This window comes from Homo sapiens, chromosome 1 (assembly GCF_000001405.40).
Source record: "Homo sapiens chromosome 1, GRCh38.p14 Primary Assembly".
NCBI classification, from domain to species: Eukaryota; Metazoa; Chordata; class Mammalia; order Primates; family Hominidae; genus Homo; species Homo sapiens.
Window position 1 is genome coordinate 21,381,136 of NC_000001.11, and position 17,840 is coordinate 21,398,975.

Below are 17,840 nucleotides of genomic sequence, written 5' to 3' on the forward strand. Positions count from 1 at the left end.
CTTAGCTCAGGGACTGTCATTTTGTAAGCAAGCTCTAGCCAGAATCCTAGGTCCTTGCATTTCTCCACCCTCTATTCCCCCTTCCACCTAAGTCTGGTCATCCTTCAAGGTCTGGGTAGAATCCATCCCTCCTCTGAGAAGCTGTGGCTACTAAACTTTTTGCCTGTTCTTGTTCAGTTTTGTTGCCTGGCATCTGTGTCCTTTTTTCTAGTGTAGAGGAACCCATTTCTCAGGAGTCATGTGGTAGGAGGCAGAAGTACCTCCCCATTATGGAAGCAAAAATCTCCAGATGTTTGTTTTCCCAGCTTCCCTTGCAGCCTGAGTGTGGTCAGGTGACGTTTGTTCTGCCAATCAGACATTCCCAATGCAGACTTTGCAGGGGCTGAGAGACAGTATCTGGAGGCAGCAGCAGCTAGGCTAGAAGTGGCTCCCATGTCTGCTGCTAGCTGTGGGTCAGGATTGGCAGTACAGGCTGTGGCTTTCAGGCTCTGCTGTTTCTCACTTGACCAGTTCTGTGGGTGATTTTGACAGTTCCTTGGCCCCGAGGGCTCTGAGCTTGGTTCTCCCGCTTACCAGTGCCCTGGTACTAACCCAATACCCTTCCAATAAGTTCCCTTACTGCTTAAATCAGCCAGTGCTGGTTTCTGTTATAAGCAAGACCCCTGCAGTAAGTCCTTTGTCCCCTTCGCTCTCACCTAAGGCTCCTGCAGCACCAAGGATCTCCCCACTCCTTGAACCCAGCAAGCCTGGCTCTGACCGCGGTCATGTCATTTTATGGCTCTGTCACATCTCCCCTACTACAGGCTCATAGCCCCCTACCCAAAACTCTAAGGGCCAGAAATGATTCAGAATTCAGAAATTTTCAGATTTTAGAAAGGTCATTTCGTACATATTCTGGGGCCACACCCAGTAATGAACTATATCAATAGGCTCACAAACAGTGGGTTTTCTTTTCTTTTTTTTTTTTTTTTTTTTTTTTTTTTTGAGACGGAGTCTCGCTCTGCCGCCCAGGCTAGAGTGCAGTGCAGTGGTGCGATCTCGGCTCGCTGCAAGCTCTGCCTCCTGGGCTCACGCCATTCTCCTGCCTCAGCCTCCCCAGTAGCTGGGACTACAGGCGCCTGCCACCACGCCCGGAGAATTTTTTGTATTTTTAGTGGAGACGGGGTTTCACCGTGTTAGCCAGGATGGTCTTGATCTCCTGACCTCGTGATCCACCCTCCTCGGCCTCCCAAAGTGCTGGGATTACAGGCGTGATCCACTGCGCCTGGCCGAGTGGGTTTTCTTTATACATGGGATTAGTTCAGGTAAGGTTTTGCATCAAATGAGTTTTGGTGGCAAATTTATGGAAATACTTTCAGTTTTCAGAGAGTTATGAATTTCATGATGGCATCTAGTGAAATGATGAAAAAAGAGTGAATTTCAGATCACAGATAAGGGATTACAGCCCCATAATAAAGATTAATGGCTGGCCAGGTGTGGTGGCTCATGCTTATAATCCCAGCACTTTGGGAGGCCAAGACGGGCAGATCACTTGAGGTCAGGAGTTCGAGAATAGCCTGGCCAATATGGTGAAACCCCAGCTCTACCAAACATACAAAAATTAGCCGGGCATGGTGGCAGGCACCTTTGGTCTCAGCTACTCAGGAGGCCGAGGTGGGAGAATCACTTGAACCCAGGAGGCAGAGGTTGCGGTGAGCCGAGATCGTGCCATTGCACTCCAGCCTGGGTGACAGAGGGAGGCTCCATCTCAAAAAAAAAAAAAAAAGACTAATGGCCAATACTAGCTAGCATTTACTGAGCACTTACTGTGTGCTAGGGACTGTGCCAAGTATTAATCCTCACCTCCATGCTGCGGTAGATATGATTTATTTATTTATTTATTTATTTTTAAACAGAGTCCTGCTTTGTTACCCAGGCTGGAGTGCAGTGGCATTATCTCAGCTCACTGCAATCTCCACCTCCCGGGTTCAAGCGATTCTCCTGCCTCAGCCTCCCAAGTAACTGGGATTACAGGCACCCGCCACCAAGCCCAGCTAATTTTTGTATTTTTGGTAGATACCGGGTTTCACCATGTTGGCCAGGCTGGTCTCGAACTCCTGACTTCGTGATCCGCCTGCCTCGGCCTCCCAAAGTGCTGGGATTACAGGCGTGAGCCACCGTGCCCGGCTGGTAGATAGGACTTTTATGCCCATTTTATAATTGAGGAAATTGAGCCTTAAACTTGAACATAGGGCAGAAACTATCTGATACTGGGAAGAGTTTATTATTTTAACAGATGGGAAAATGGAGGCTTGGAGAGGTGAAGTGACTTTCCCTCTTCACGAAACAAGAAAGCAGCAGGGTAGGATTCTGAGCCATCACGCAATCTCCCTTTGAAGGAGGGCAACCAGGCGCCCCTGGGTGTCCAGTCCAGCCCGCTCCTCCCCACTCCCACTCTGCCTCTCTCTTGCTATCTAGAGCTTCATCTCACCACCCAACCCTTATCTATCACAAGTCTGGGTTGCAACGCGCAGGCAAGCAAGGAAGAAAATGCCAGCCCAGAGAAACATTTGCTCCAACAAGTGAGCAAAGGAGAATGCAAATTCCTTCTCAGGAACTTGCTTCCACAGGCAAATATCTACACCTGCACTGACTGGTTATAAACATGCTAATTCCCCGGGTGATTTCAATTCATTGAATCCTGGGCTTGGCTCTCTCTGCCTACTTAGTCCTCAAGTGTCTCCAGAGTCAGTGGTTCCCCCACAATTGGAGTTTCACAAATCTGCAGTTTTAAAAAGAAAAGACACAGCGAGTGATATAGAAATACCACATAAGGGCATTAAGTAACCACAACTCCCAGAGACCTTTTTTGTGGCTGACAAATTAAACCCTCAATTAGCAGCGTAGCTATCCTGGTCCCCCAGCAGATGGCTGACCTCCATTTAGAAGGGAAATTCCTCATGGTAAGAAGCAGTCTCACCTAATCCATCTCTCCTACCCTAGAACAATTTTAGCTGCCTGTCATAAACACTTTCCAGAGCTAAGTGCCTTCCATAACCTAAGAGGCAGTCACCTATTTTCAGCCTCAATTTACGAGTGAGAAATCTGTGGCTCAGAGAGGTTAAGTAACATGACCAAGGGCATACAGCTAATGAAGTGATAGAGCAAAAATTTAAGCTTGAGTCTGTTTAGCTGCAAAATCACCATTCTGTAATACCTGTCCAAGAAACAGAGATGCAAAGAACATAATCGGATAAGCACATACCTTGCTTTAGTGAGAGGACCCTAGGAACGATAGTTGAACAAGCAGAACAAACTGTTAGGACCAGCATCTTGAAGTTTCCAAAGAAGTTGGTTCTTGATTCACATGGTGCTTGGGCCCTTGAAACACACATTAGGAATTCTGTGCCATGCTCTTACCATCCCTCCATTGAAAGAAAAGTGCAATAAACACCTATACATGCCTCACTAAGATCTACTGTTACTGGCTGGGAATTAATATGGATCTGCAGCAACTTCAATTCTTACCTCCTGGGAAGAAAGAATTGACTGAGGCAATTCTTTCTTAAGGCAGAAGTAAAGACTGAGGCAAGTTTCAGAGGAGAAGTGAAAACTTATTAAAAAGCTTCAGAGTAGGATCGAAAGGAAGTAAAGTACACTTGGAAGAGGGCCAAGCGGGCAACTTGAGACAGTCAAGTGCACTGATTCTTCCCTTGGGGTGGGCTGTCCGCATGCTCAGTGACCTGCCAGCACTTGGGAGGGAGCATGCGCAGTGTGTTTACTGGAGTTGTACGCATGCTCCCTTGAGGCGCTCTTCCCTTACCAGGTGAATGTGCCTAGCAGGTCATATACCAGTTAAACTCTGCCATTTTGCCTCTTAGTGGGCATGTGTGAGCCCACTTGCCCAGCTCCTGAGATCTTATTGGGGAGTGGCTGATCACCAGCTTCAGGTGTTCCTGTTTATTGGAAGACTGCCTTTCCCTGGTGCTGGCTGCAGCCAATTATTATTTTAAAGAGACAGTTAACAACTTGCCTGCCCATCACCTGATGGTCACCTGACATTCCTGGTGTGTGTGGGGGTGGGGGTGAGGGGAGCCCTCCCCTGCTCTGTTCTTGTCTGACTATACCTACTACTACCTACCATAACACTACCATTTGCTAACATCTGTTCCTGTCTGACTGTAGCAGGACAAGCCGCAGACAAAACCCCTCAGACACCGAGTTAAAGACGGAAGCGGTTTACTCGGCCGTGAGCATCGGCGAGACTCCTGTCTCAAGAGCTGAGCTCCCCGAGTGAGCGATTCCTGTCCCTTTTAAGGGCTCACAACTCTAAGGGGGTCTGCTTCAGAGGGTCGTGATTGATTGAGCAAGCAAGGGGTACGTGACTGGGGGCTGCATGCACCAGTAATTAGAATGGAACAGAACAGGACAGGGATTTTCACAGTGCTTTTCTATACAATGTCTGTAATCTATAGATAACATAACCAATTAGGTCAGGGGTCAATCTTTAACTACCAGGCCCAGGGTGTAGTGTCGGGCTGTCTCCCTGTGAATTTCATTTCTTCCTTTTAGTTTTTACTTCTTCTTTGGAGGCAGAAATTGGGCATAAGACAATATGAGGGGTGGTCTCCTCCCTTATAACTATGCCTACTACTATATACCATAACACTACCATTTGCTAACATTTCACAACATTTGCTTTCTCTATATATATATTGGCACTGGCCAATGTAAATTTCTGTGATGATGAAAATGTTTTGTACCTTCACTGTCCAATACTGTAGCCACTGGCCACATGTAGCTGTTGTACACTTAAAATTGTGGCCACTGTAACTGAGGAACAGAATTTTAAATTGTATTTATTATTTTTATTTTTTTATTTTTGAGACAGTCTCGCTCTGTCACCCGGGCTGGAATGCAGTGGCACGATCTCTGCTCACTGCAAGCTCTGCCTCCCAGGTTCACACCATTCTCCTGCCTCAGCTTCCCGAGTAGCTGGGACTACAGGCGCCCACCACCATGCACGGCTAATTTTGTTTTTGTATTTTCAGTAGAGACGGGGTTTCACCATGTTAGCCAGGATGGTCTTGATCTCCTGAACTTGTGTTCCCCCCGCCTCGGCCTCCCAAAGTGCTGGGATTACAGAAATTGTATTTATTTTTAATTAATTTAAAATTAAGCATAAACAACATGCAGCTAGTGGTGCTGTATTGGACAACACAGCCCATGGAAATATGTTCTTGCATTTTGCTGAACCACTTGAAAATAAGTTGCAGACATCATGATACTTCACCCTTAAATTTTTACTTCTTCAGAATAAGGACATTTCTCCTATGTAACTAGGGTACTGTTGTCAGAGGCGTTTGAACCAGAGCAACTCTGTCTTGAACAGGAGCTGGGGAAAAAAAGGCTGAGACCGACTGAGGTTAGGCATTCTTAGTCACAGGATGAGATGGGAAGTCAGCACAAGATACAGGTCATAAAGACCTTGCTGGTAAAACAGGATGCAGTAGGCTGGGCACGGTGGCTCATGCTGTAATCCCAGCACTTTGGGAGGCCGAGGCAGATGATCACTTGCAGTCAGGAATTCTAGACCATCATGGCCAACATGGTGAAGCCCCATCTCTACTAAAAATACAAAAATTAGCTGGGCACGATGATGGGTGCCTGTAATCTCAGCTACTTGGGAGGCTGAGGTGGGAGAATCGCTTGAACCTGGGAGGCAGAGGTTGCAGTGAACTGAAATCGCACCACTGCACTTCAGCCTGGGCGAAAGATGGAGACTTCATCTCAAAAACAAAACAGGATGCAGTACAGAAGCCGACCAAAACCAAGATGGCCATGAAAGTGACCTCTCCCTCTCCCTCTCCCTCTCCCTCTCCCTCTCCCTCTCCCTCTCCCTCTCCCTCCCCCTCCCCCTCCCCCTCCCCCTCCCCCTCTCCCTCTCCCGTCTCCCTCTCCCCACGGTCTCCCTCTCATGCGGAGCCGAAGCTGGACTGTGCTGCTGCCATCTCCGCTCACTGCAACCTCCCTGCCTGATTCTCCTGCCTCAGCCTGCCGAGTGCCTACGCCGCCACGCCTGACTGGTCTTGGTGGAGACGGGGTTTCGCTGTGTTGGCCGGGCCGGTCTCCAGCCCCTAACCGCGAGTGATCCGCCAGCCTTGGCCTCCCGAGGTGCCGGGATTGCAGACGGAGTCTCGTTCACTCAGTGCTCAATGGTGCCCAGGCTGGAGTGCAGTGGCGTGATCTCGGCTCGCTACAACCTACACCTCCCAGCCGCCTGCCTTGGCCTCCCAGGGTGCTGAGATTGCAGCCTCTGCCCGGCCGCCACCCCGTCTGGGAAGTGAGGAGTGTCTCTGCCTGGCCGCCCATCGTCTGGGATGTGAGGAGCCCCTCTGCCTGGCTGCCCAGTCTGGAAAGTGAGGAGCGTCTGCGCCCGGCCGCCATCCCATCTAGGAAGTGAGGAGCGCCTCTTCCCAGCCGCCATCACATCTAGGAAGTGAGGAGCGTCTCTGCCCGGCCGCCCATCGTCTGAGATGTGGGGAGCGCCTCTGCCCCGCCGCCCCATCTGGGATGTGAGGAGTGCCTCTGCCCAGCCGAGACCCTGTCTGGGAGGTGAGGAGCGTCTCTGCCCGGCTGCCCCGTCTGAGAAGTGAGGAGACCCTCTGCCTGGCAACCACCCCGTCTGAGAAGTGAGGAGCCCCTCCGCCCGGCAGCTGCCCCGTCTGAGAAGTGAGGAGCCTCTCCGCCCGGCAGCCACCCCATCTGGGAAGTGAGGAGTGTCTCCGCCCGGCAGCCACCCCGTCCGGGAGGGAGGTGGGGGGGGTCAGCCCCCCGCCCGGCCAGCCGCCCCATCCGGGAGGGAGGTGGGGGGTCAGCCCCCCCGCCCGGCCAGCCGTGCCGTCCGGGAGGGAGGTGGGGGGGTCAGCCCCCCGTCCGGCCGGCCGCCCCGTCCAGGAGGTGAGGGGCGCCTCTGCCCGGCCGCCCCTACTGGGAAGTGAGGAGCCCCTCAGCCTGGCCAGCCACCCCGTCCGGGAGGGAGATGGGGGGGTCAGCCCCCCCACCCGGCCAGCCACCCCGTCCGGGAGGGAGGTGGGGGGGTCAGCCCCCCGCCTGGCCAGCCGCCCCATCCGGGAGGGAGGTGGGGGGGTCAGCCCCCCGCCCGGCCAGCCGCCCTGTCCGGGAGGGAGGTGGGGGGGTCAGCCCTCTGCCCGGCCAGCCGCCCCGTCTGGGAGGTGAGGGGCGCCTCTGCCCGGCTGCCCCTACTGGGAAGTGAGGAGCCCCTCTGCGCGGCCAGCCGCCCGGTCCGGGAGGGAGGTGGGGGGGTCAGCCCCCTGCCCGGCCAGCCGCCCCGTCCGGGAGGTGAGGGGCGCCTCTGCCTGGCCACCCCTACTGGGAAGTGGGGAGCCCCTCTGCCCGGCCAGCCGCCCCGTCCGGGAGGGAGGTGGGGGGGTCAGCCCCCTGCCCGGCCAGCCGCCCCGTCCGGGAGGTGAGGGGCGCCTCTGCCCGGCCGCCCCTACTGGGAAGTGAGGAGCCCCTCTGCCCGGCCACCACCCCGTCCGGCCAGCCGCCCCGTCCGGGAGGTGAGGGGCGCCTCTGCCTGGCCACCCCTACTGGGAAGTGGGGAGCCCCTCTGCCCGGCCAGCCGCCCCGTCCGGGAGGGAGGTGGGGGGGTCAGCCCCCTGCCCGGCCAGCCGCCCCGTCCGGGAGGTGAGGGGCGCCTCTGCCTGGCCACCCCTACTGGGAAGTGGGGAGCCCCTCTGCCCGGCCAGCCGCCCCGTCCGGGAGGGAGGTGGGGGGGTCAGCCCCCTGCCCGGCCAGCCGCCCCGTCCGGGAGGTGAGGGGCGCCTCTGCCCGGCCACCCCTACTGGGAAGTGAGGAGCCCCTCTGCCCGGCCAGCCGCCCCGTCCGGCCAGCCGCCCCGTCCGGGAGGTGAGGGGCGCCTCTGCCCGGCCGCCCCTACTGGGAAGTGAGGAGCCCCTCTGCCCGGCTAGCCGCCCCGTCCGGGAGGGAGGTGGGGGGGTCAGCCCCCTGCCCGGCCAGCCGCCCCGTCCGGGAGGTGAGGGGCGCCTCTGCCCGGCCGCCCCTACTGGGAAGTGAGGAGCCCCTCTGCCCGGCCACCACCCCGTCTGGGAGGTGTGCCCAACAGCTCATTGAGAGCGGGCCAGGATGACAATGGCGGCTTTGTGGAATAGAAAGGCGGGAAAGGTGGGGAAAAGATTGAGAAATCGGATGGTTGCCGTGTCTGTGTAGAAAGAAGTAGACATGGGAGACTTTTCATTTTGTTCTGCACTAAGAAAAATTCTTCTGCCTTGGGATCCTGTTGATCTGTGACCTTACCCCCAACCCTGTGCTCTCTGAAACATGTGCTGTGTCCACTCAGGGTTAAATGGATTAAGGGCGGTGCAAGATGTGCTTTGTTAAACAGATGCTTGAAGGCAGCATGCTCGTTAAGAGTCATCACCAATCCCTAATCTCAAGTAATCAGGGACACAAACACTTCGGAGGGCCGCAGGGTCCTCTGCCTAGGAAAACCGGAGACCTTTGTTCACTTGTTTATCTGCTGACCTTCCCTCCACTATTGTCCCATGACCCTGCCAAATCCCCCTCTGTGAGAAACACCCAAGAATTATCAATAAAAAAATAAATTAAAGAAAAAAAAAAAAAGTGAAAAAGCTTACAAAAAAAAAAAAAAAAAAAAAGAAAGTGACCTCTGGTCATCCTCACTGTTCGTTATACGCTAATTATAATGCATTAGCATGCTAAAGGACACTCCCACCAGCGTCATGACAGTTTACAAATGCCATGGCAACGTCTAGAAATTACTCTCTATGGTCTAAAAAGGGGAGAAACCCTCAGTTCCCGGAACTGCCCAACCTTTTCGTGGGAAACTCATGAATCATCCACCCTTCATTTAGCATATTATCAAGAAATTACTATAAGTATAATCAGTTGACTAGCCCATGCTGCTGCTATCTATGGAGTAGCCATTCTTTATTCCTTTACTTTCTTAATAAACTTGCTTTCTCTTTACTCTATGAACTTGTCCCAAATTATTTATTTATTTTTGAGAGACAGAGTCTTGCTCTGTCGCCGAGGCTGGAGTACAGTGGTGCGATCTTGGCTCACTGCAACCTCTGCCTCCCGTGTTCAAGCGATTCTCCTGCCTCAGCTTCCCAAGTAGCTAGGACTACAGGTGCGTGCCACCACGTCTAGCTAATTTTTGTATTTTTTAGTAGAGACGGGGTCTCACTATATGTTGACCAGGCTGGTCTCGAACTCCTGACCTCAAGTGATCTGCCTGCCTCAGCCTCCCAAAGTGCTGGGATTACAGGCGTGAGCCACTGCGCCTGGCCCTGAATTCTTTCTTGGGCGAGGTCCAAGAATCCTCCTTTGGGGTCTAGATCCGGACACCCTTCCGGTAACATCTTCTTGGCTACCACAAAGGGACTATACCGAGGAGACCCCCAACTCAAAGGAAAGAGACTGCAGCACCGATTATCCGACTTTGGGTAAGTGGTGGGGTACATTTTACCCAGGTAAAGGATGGAATTGAGTGAGAGGCCCAACTTAGGAGAGTTAGTTTCTCCTGAGACAGACAAGGTTAAAGGCCCCTCTTAATAAAAGGCAAGGATGCTTGACCGAACTTGGGTTCAAGGCCCAACTTAGGAAGGTAAGAGTCCTTCCTAATATTTAGAGGGTTAGAGGACCTTCCCTCAGTAAAGTCCCTTTTGGTTAAAAAATGGGTTTGGGCTGGGCGTGGTGGCTCACGCCTGTAATCCTAGCTCTTAGGGAGGGAGAGGCAGGAAGATAGCTTGAGCCCAGGAGTTCAAGACCTGCCTGGACAATATATTGAGACCCTGTTCTCCACAAAAAGAAAAAAAAAAAAAAAAAAGAGGATTTGGCATTATGGGATGTTAACCCATCTTTGAATTAATCTGCCTTGCACTGCTTGCTGATGGCTATGGGTGACAGGATTAGACAAGTACAGGACCATAGGACATGGGAGCTTTTTCCTCCCCCAAAAGAGGGAAACTTGAGAGCTGATGGGTCTGCTGGAAAAGATCCCTTTGTGACTGACAAGCAGCTGCCTGAACTTTTGAGTCAGTGTCGCTGCAATGGGTGGGTCTTTCTCCCACCCCCTGAGCTCCTTGCCTTCCCCACCTCATCGCAGGCAATGCTTTTCTCTCTCTCGTTCTCTCCTTTCCCTTTCCTATCTTTTCTGTTACTCAGGGCGACCATCTTGCCCAGAGACCAAATGTTGAAACTGCTGGTCGGAGATCATTCCACCCCACTTTGAATAAAGATGACAGGGCTCAAACAGGGGCAAGTTTGAGCCTTACCAGTTCGATATTGGGTGCTAAGCAGAGTGGTTAATATCTATGTTTTGTCACACGTATTTTGCTCTGGCCGGATGGAAAATGTTAATTTGGTTATCCCATGCAATCCCTTGAACGGCATCTTACAAAATTGAGAGACTTTTGCCTGTGGTTCCATGAAAAGGAAAAAGATGATTTTCTTTGGTGTTGCAGCTTGGTCCCCAGGGCTATGATGTGGCAAGCAGGGTCACTAAGGTCACTCAGGGAAAGGGAACCCAGAAACCTGGCATGCAGGCAAAAGGGTAAGAATTTCTTACTGGTCAGGCTTGTGGGCTCTCTGTGCAAACTGGTTGTAGGAATTGTAAAAATCACTGTCTCCTCTGCAAAGTTCTTTTTTTTTTTTTTTTTTTTTTTTTTTTGAGACAGCGTCTCCCTCTATTGCCCAGGCTGGAGTGCACTCTGCTTCCCAGGTTCATGCCATTCTCCTGCCTCAGCCTCCCGAGTAGCTGGGACTACAGGCGCCCGTCATCTCACCCGGCTAATTTTTTGTATTTTTAGTAGAGAGTGGGTATCACCGTATTAGCCAGGATGGTCTTGATCTCCTGACCTCGTGATCCTCCCGCTCGGCCTCCCAAAGTGCTGGGATTACAGGCGTGAGCCACCCTGCCTGGCCGCAAAGTTCTGATTAATGAGAAAAAGGATTTGTGAGGTTAAACTGTAGTGAATCTGGTATACTTTGTGCTATGAATTTGTCTTTCTATATCGTTCTGTCATAAAGAGGGGTACCTTATGATACTTTGTGCTATGAATACTTTGTGCTATGGATTTGTATACTTTGTGCTATGAATTTGTCTTTCTATATCGTTCTGTCATAAAGAGGGGTACTTTGTGCTATGAATTTGTCTTTCTATATCGTTCTGTCATAAAGAGGCGTACCTTATGATAGAACATGGGCTTAGAACCCCATAAGCCTGCTGTTCAAGCTAGCCTGGAAAACTGGTCAGTTACAAACTTTGCTGCAGGTCCCTGAAGCAAACAAAAAAAACTGGATGAGGTTTGTAGTAGTCCGTTTTCACACTGCCATAAAGAAATACCTGAGACTGGATAAATTATAAAGGAAAGAGGTTTAATTGACTTACAGTTCCACATGGCTGGGGAGGCCTCAGGAAACTTATAATCAGGGTGGAAGGTGAAGGAAAAGCAAGGCACCTTCCTCCCTAGGCAGCAGGAGAGAGAGAAGAGCGAAGGAGAAACTTCCAAACACGAATAAAACCATCAGATCTCGTGAGAACTCACTCACTATCATGAGAAAAGCAAGGGGGAAACAGCCCCCATGATCCAATCAGCTCCCTCCCTCAACACGTGGGGATTACAGGTCCCTCCCTTGACATGTGGGGATTACAATTTGAGATGAGATTTTCGTGGGGACACAGAGCAAAACCGTATCAAGATTTCCCTCAGGTCTTGTTTTATGTCTTTGGGAGCTTGACCTTGTAACCACACCGTGGTAATTTCTCTTGGTTTCCACCATCCAGGGAACAGGAGTTTTGGGATTCATGTCATAGTTAGTCTTAAAAATTATCTTGAGGCTGGGTGCGGTGGCTCACGACTCTAATCCCAGCACTTTGGGAGGCCGAGGTGGGCGGATCACCTGAGGTCAGGAGTTCACGACCAGCCCGACCAACATGGCGAAACCCCATCTACTAAAAATAGAAAAATTAGCTGCACATGGTGGCACGTGCCTGTAATCCCAGCCACTTGGGAGGCTGGGGCAGGAGAATCTCTTGAACTCCAGAGGCAGAGGTTGCAGTGAGCCTAGACTGAGCCACTGCACTCCAGCCTGAGGGACAGAGTGAGACTTCTTCTCAAAAAAAAAAAAAAAAAAATTATCTTGAGCAGTTAAAAGCCATTGCAAGCTCAAAATTGACTGCTCTAGGCTCCTTCTGGAAAGAGCAATGGAGCCTGCCCAGTGCTGTAGCTTAGTAGCTAAGCCTTTGTCTTTTCACAGTGGTGGCCCAGGTTCAATTTTTGGCCTAGGAAATGAGTTATTTCTGTCATGTGGCGTTTGCCATTCATTGAGTCTCTTTCCCTCCATGAACAACTTCCGACTTCCTTTCTTGAATTTTCCTTTCTCTGAGCACCTGAGGTGCTATGAGGTTACCTTTGGTAAAGTTCAAAAGCCAGAAATATTGGCCATTTGGCCAGGCTACAGTCGGGTAATAAGAGATTTAAAAAGATTTTTTTTTTAAAGAGTGCTATGGTTAAAAGTCAGCTTAGTTAAAAGCAGATATTCAAGTTATAAGTGTATTTAAAAGGTCTTTATATTTTTTTCTCTTCTTGGATCTTATTTTTCTAAAGAAAAAAATGGTTTTCTCCTTAGTTGACTGAATTGTTTTTCTCCATTTTGTCTTCTTGCCTGTCCACATGAGAGCACCTAAGATAATTTCTTTCTTTCTTTTTTTTTTTTAAGACAGAGTCTTGCTCTGTCGCCCAGGCTGGAGTGCAATGGTGCAATCTTGGCTCACTGCAACCTCTGCCTCCTGGGATTCAAGCGATTCTCCCACCTCAGCCTCCCGAGTAGCTGGGATTACAAGTGCCTGCCACGACACCGGGCTAATTTTTGTATTTCTTTAGTAGAGACGGGGTTTCACCATGTTGGCCAGGCTGGTCTCAAACTACTGACCTTGTGATCCACCTGCCTCGGCCTCCCAAAGTGCTGGGATTACAGGCATGAGCCACCGCGCCCAGCCAAGAGGACCTAAGATAATTTCTAACAGCCTGTGACTCCTTGGGAAAAATGGAGGAGATGCCACAGATCTTGTTTTGGGAAAAACCTCTGTTTTCCTCCTGAAACTCCAGGAATTAGAACTGAATAGATCCATCCCTCTTGAAATCTAAGGCTCTCTTCTGTCTGGCATTGCATTATCTGACGTTTTTTACTTTGGGGGGGTATCAGAAATTACTTCACATTATGAGAGAGCTTTGGTGTGTAATAACTAGTTGGAGGATATACTTTTGGGCATGGCTAATGGCAATTAAGGGAGGATTCTCAGCTCTTTGCATGTTTGGATCAGAGAAGCATGTTCTTGGCCACCTAGAAGGTATGGATATATTCCCACCGCCACTGAGAGATAATCTGTTGGGAGATGGGCTGATCCCCTCCTTTTTGGGGATCCAGGATCTGGTATAAAAATGAGACCCTTAATTTTGGGGGATCTGTTTTGCCTTCCAGCTGTATGGGCTTATTAGGCCCTAGAAATTAGCTAGGTGTGGTGGCTCATGCCTGTAATCCCAGCACTTTGGGAGGCTGAGGTAGGTTGATCACGTGAGACCAGGAGTTCGAGACCAGCCTGGCCAACATGGTGAAACCCCATCTCTACTAAAAATACAAAAATTAGCTAGGTGTGGTGGTGCATGCCTGTAATCCCAGCTACTCGGGAAGCTGAGACATGAGAATCACTTGAACCTGGGAGGCAGAGGTTGCAGTGAGCTGATATTGCACCACTGCACTCCAGCCTGAGTGACAGAGTGAGACCCTGTCTCAAAAATAAATAACTTTTTAAAAAGAAAGAAACTACATGCTCTAAAAAGAAACTTAAAAACTGGCAAATGAGGCTGGGCACGGTGGCTCACGCCTGTAATCCCAGCACTTTGGGAGGCCGAGGCGGGCTGATCATGAGGTTAGGAGATCGAGACCATCCTGGCTAACACGGTGAAACCCCATCTCTACTAAAAATACAAAAAATTAGCCAGGCGTGGTGGCGGGTGCTTGTAGTCCCTGCTACTCGGGAGGCTGAGGCAGGAGAATGGCGTGAACCTGGGAGGTGGAGCTTGCAGTGAGCCAAGATCGCACCACTGTACTCCAGCCTGGGGACAGAGCGAGACTCTGTCTCAAAAAACAAACAAACAAACAAAAAAAACGAAAAACTGGCAAATGAAAAATCTTACAACTACTGGATCTTCTGTGTATTTTTATGTGTTGTGTGTGTGATGTTTATATATGGAAGAGCTCTGATTAATTCGTTTAAAAATAATAAGTGCTTAAATATTTTGTCAGAAAAATAAAAACTGCAATGCTTTTTAGTTCATGTGACTTAGTAAGCTTTGGGAAATAAAGACAGTCTTAAAGATTATTGGTGAAATAAAAATGTCTTTGAAATTTAGATATTTGGTCTAACTTAGGCAGGGCAGCTATTAGGTTTGCTAAATGCTTTAACGTCATAAACTGCTTCTTTCTTTTGAAAATCTTTCCACTGACCTGTTTTTAAGCCATTAGATAAAGTCTGGGGACAGGTGGAGTTAGTCATGACCGGCAGCTGGAAAGAGTTCAACCTCATCTGCATTTCTATCTGGTGTCTTAGGTTCTACTCCTGGTACATAATTAGAATCACTTACTTACCAGATTTTTCAGCAAAAACGAAAGTTGCTAAGAATTAACATTGTAACATGTAATTAAGACTACTGAAGAAACACTTCTACGTGCAAGGTGTGTAAGAAAAGTGAAATGTGAGGCCAGGCCTGGTGGCTCACGCCTGTAATCCTGGCACTTTGGGAGGCCGAGGCAAGTGGATCACCTGAGGTCAGGAGTTTGAGACCAGCCTGGCCAACATGGCGAAACCACGTCTCTACTAAAAATACAAAAATTAGCCGGGTGTGGTGGTGCGCTCCTGTAGTCCCAGCTACTGGGGAGGCTGAGGCAGGAGAATCACTTGAACCCGGGAGGCAGAAGTTGCAGTGGCTGAGATCGCGCCATTATACTCCAGCCTTGGCGACAGAGTGAGACTCTGTCTCAAAAAAAAAAAAAAGATAAAAGAAAAAAAAGAAAAGTGAAACGTGTTTTTGGTAAAAGATTATAAGAAGACATAGGAATGTGGGTGCTTTCTTTTTGGCCTAGTTTATAGGGTTAAAGGATTGTTTTCAGTTCGATAAGTTAGATTGTTTTAAGTTAAGATAGATTGTTTTAAGTTAGAAGGTTTGAGCAAGTTGCATAAGATTTGCGAAAAATTAATCTTGTAAAAGAAATTCTGTGTAGAAAGTAAAAAGTTGCCTCTTCAAAGTTTCCCTTCTTGTTAAAAAATAAATCGTAAGTGTTAGAAATAATAGTTTCTTTTAAAAACTAACTTCTTTCAAGCCTCCTTGCTTTGTGCTAATAACTCTTTGTTAAGCCCTATTCTATGTAGCTGTTCAATATAAAAAAAAGTATCTTTGATGTCCTTGTACTTTAACCAAAATATTTATGCTAAACGTGCTCACAGGCATGTCCCAACTTGCAGCTTATGCCCCTTCCTTATTTAAAAATATTATTACTTTTCTAAGTCCTTTCGCAAGCAACTTCCTCTTTTCCTTTGTTCTCTATTGCCTTTACCTATTTTAAAAAGTTTTAAATTATTAGCCAGTCGGGTTTTAGTTTAAATTGTAAGGTCTAGCTCCAGCCAATGAAGACAAAACACAGTAGCAAAAATAAGCTGCATAAAAAATAAACATTGCTTCCCTCCTTTGTTTAGGTGTGCTTTTGTCATTGTTCCATCTGCAAAAAGCACCCTTTCTGCAAAAAGTAAAATTACCTTGCTAAAAAAACTTTTTCCCTAAATGCTAATTTTTCCTTACAGTACCAAAAACAAGCCTTTTACATATAACATTCTGTGTGTAAACATATTGGCTAAAATTAAAGGTTTTCCATAAATTGAACATTGGAATAAAAGCACAACAGAGTTTTCTCTTTTTTATCTCTGTCACCCAGGCTGGAGTGCAGTGGTGTGATCTCAACTCACTGCAACCTCCACCTCCCAGGTTCAAGCGATTTTCCTGCCTCAGCCTCCCAAGTAGCTGGGACTACAGGTACACCACCCCGCCCGGCTATTTTTTTTTTTTTTAAATTTTTAGTAGAGATGGGGTTTCACCATATTGGTCAGGCTGGTCTCGAACTCCTGACCTCAAATGATCCACCCACCTTGGCCTCTCAAAGTGCTGGGATTACAGGTATGAGCCACCACGCTTGGCCATGAACAATATTTGTATGTAGTATTAAAGGATAATGAAGATTTTTGTTTGCCTTTTGAATAAACCACAGGAAAAAGAAAGGAAAGACAAGAGATAGATTGTTTGGAAACCTAAGTCTTCCCTGTATCAATAAGTAAAGTTTTATGCTTTTTAAAAATTTTTGAGTTACCATTTTTGGCTAAATGAATAACTTAGGGTGACCTAGAATTCTATTTTATAATATCAAATATTTTAAACCTTTGATATTGGACAAACTTTCCAAAATCAAATTACAAATTATATCTTTTTCTGACTTCATTAATGTTTTAGATATTAGGTCCCCTAAAGTCCAAAAATGACATATTTGACTTATTTGTATAAAAAAATCACCCGGAAGCAGAGCCGGAAGTGGGGTTGGTCAGGTTATCTCCACGGGTGGAGAAGCGGAGGCCCAGGAGGAGGGGTGAAAAGAAGGTGGAGGATCCTGGCTACCACTGAATCCCATACTGCTTCTCCTAGACCTCAGAGACAGAAAAAGAGAAGGGTGTGTCATCCCCCTTCCTCCTTTCCTCCCTCTCCTGAGGCAGGGGCTGGGCTGAGCGAGACCGTCACTGAGACAACAGTTACCGTGACAACCGAGCCCGAGAACCGGAGCCTTACCATCAAACTTCCGAAACGGAAGCCAGAGAAAAAGGTGGAATGGACAAGTGACACTGTGGACAATGAACGCATGCGCCGCCGCTCATCAAAATGCTGCTCTATTTATGAAAAATCCCGGGCCTTTGGCGAGAGCTCCACGGAAAGTGATGAGGAGGAAGAAGAGGGCTGTGGTCATACACACTGTGTACGTGGCCACCGCAAAGGATGGCGTCCTGCAACCCTGGGACCGACCCCCACCACCCCTCCCCGGCCTCCTGACCCTTCCTAGACCCACGCAGGGCCAATGCAGCACTAAATTCCTCTTTCCCCCACCATGCCTGAATGTATCCATGTGGCTACTTCTCCAGTACCCTCCTTCTCTCTCTTCTGCCTGATAGAGGGAAGAGGAAGAGGAGGGTGGACAGAGATCCTGGAATTCTGACTTGCTGCTATTTCAGAACCTAGACTCCTGAGTTCCCCCAGTTCTCATTTTTCCTCCCAATACCCACCCCTTCTCTCTCGAGGGATCTAGGCACCTTGGCCCCAGCCTCTTCCTTTTGTTCTCACTGTCAAACTGCCTGTCCTGGGATCTAGTTATCTTGGCCCTGCACTCTCAACTTGAGTAGCAAACACTGAAATTGGGTTTTCAACAGTCCCAGCTTTCACTGCGAGGGTCCCAGTCAGATTCCAGGAATTCTCACCCTGGCTGTGCTTGCTAATACTGGTTTAGAGCTATCCCACGAAAATATTTAATCCTAATTCTTAGTCCTTGCCTGTGGGATATGAGGTCCTACAGGAGACCTCAGGGCTCCCAGCCCTTCTCCTGCTAACCCTCTTCATGCCCTCAAGAGGAGTTAGAAGAGAGTTCCTTGTCATTCTCACCTCTAATGGAAAATGGAACCAGAAATAATCATATCCTTTCTC

General features: G+C 48.9%; 1 pseudogene; it reads left to right on the forward strand.

The window, feature by feature from the left end:
• On the forward strand, positions 16,665-17,427 carry PPP1R11P1 (protein phosphatase 1 regulatory inhibitor subunit 11 pseudogene 1; annotated as a pseudogene).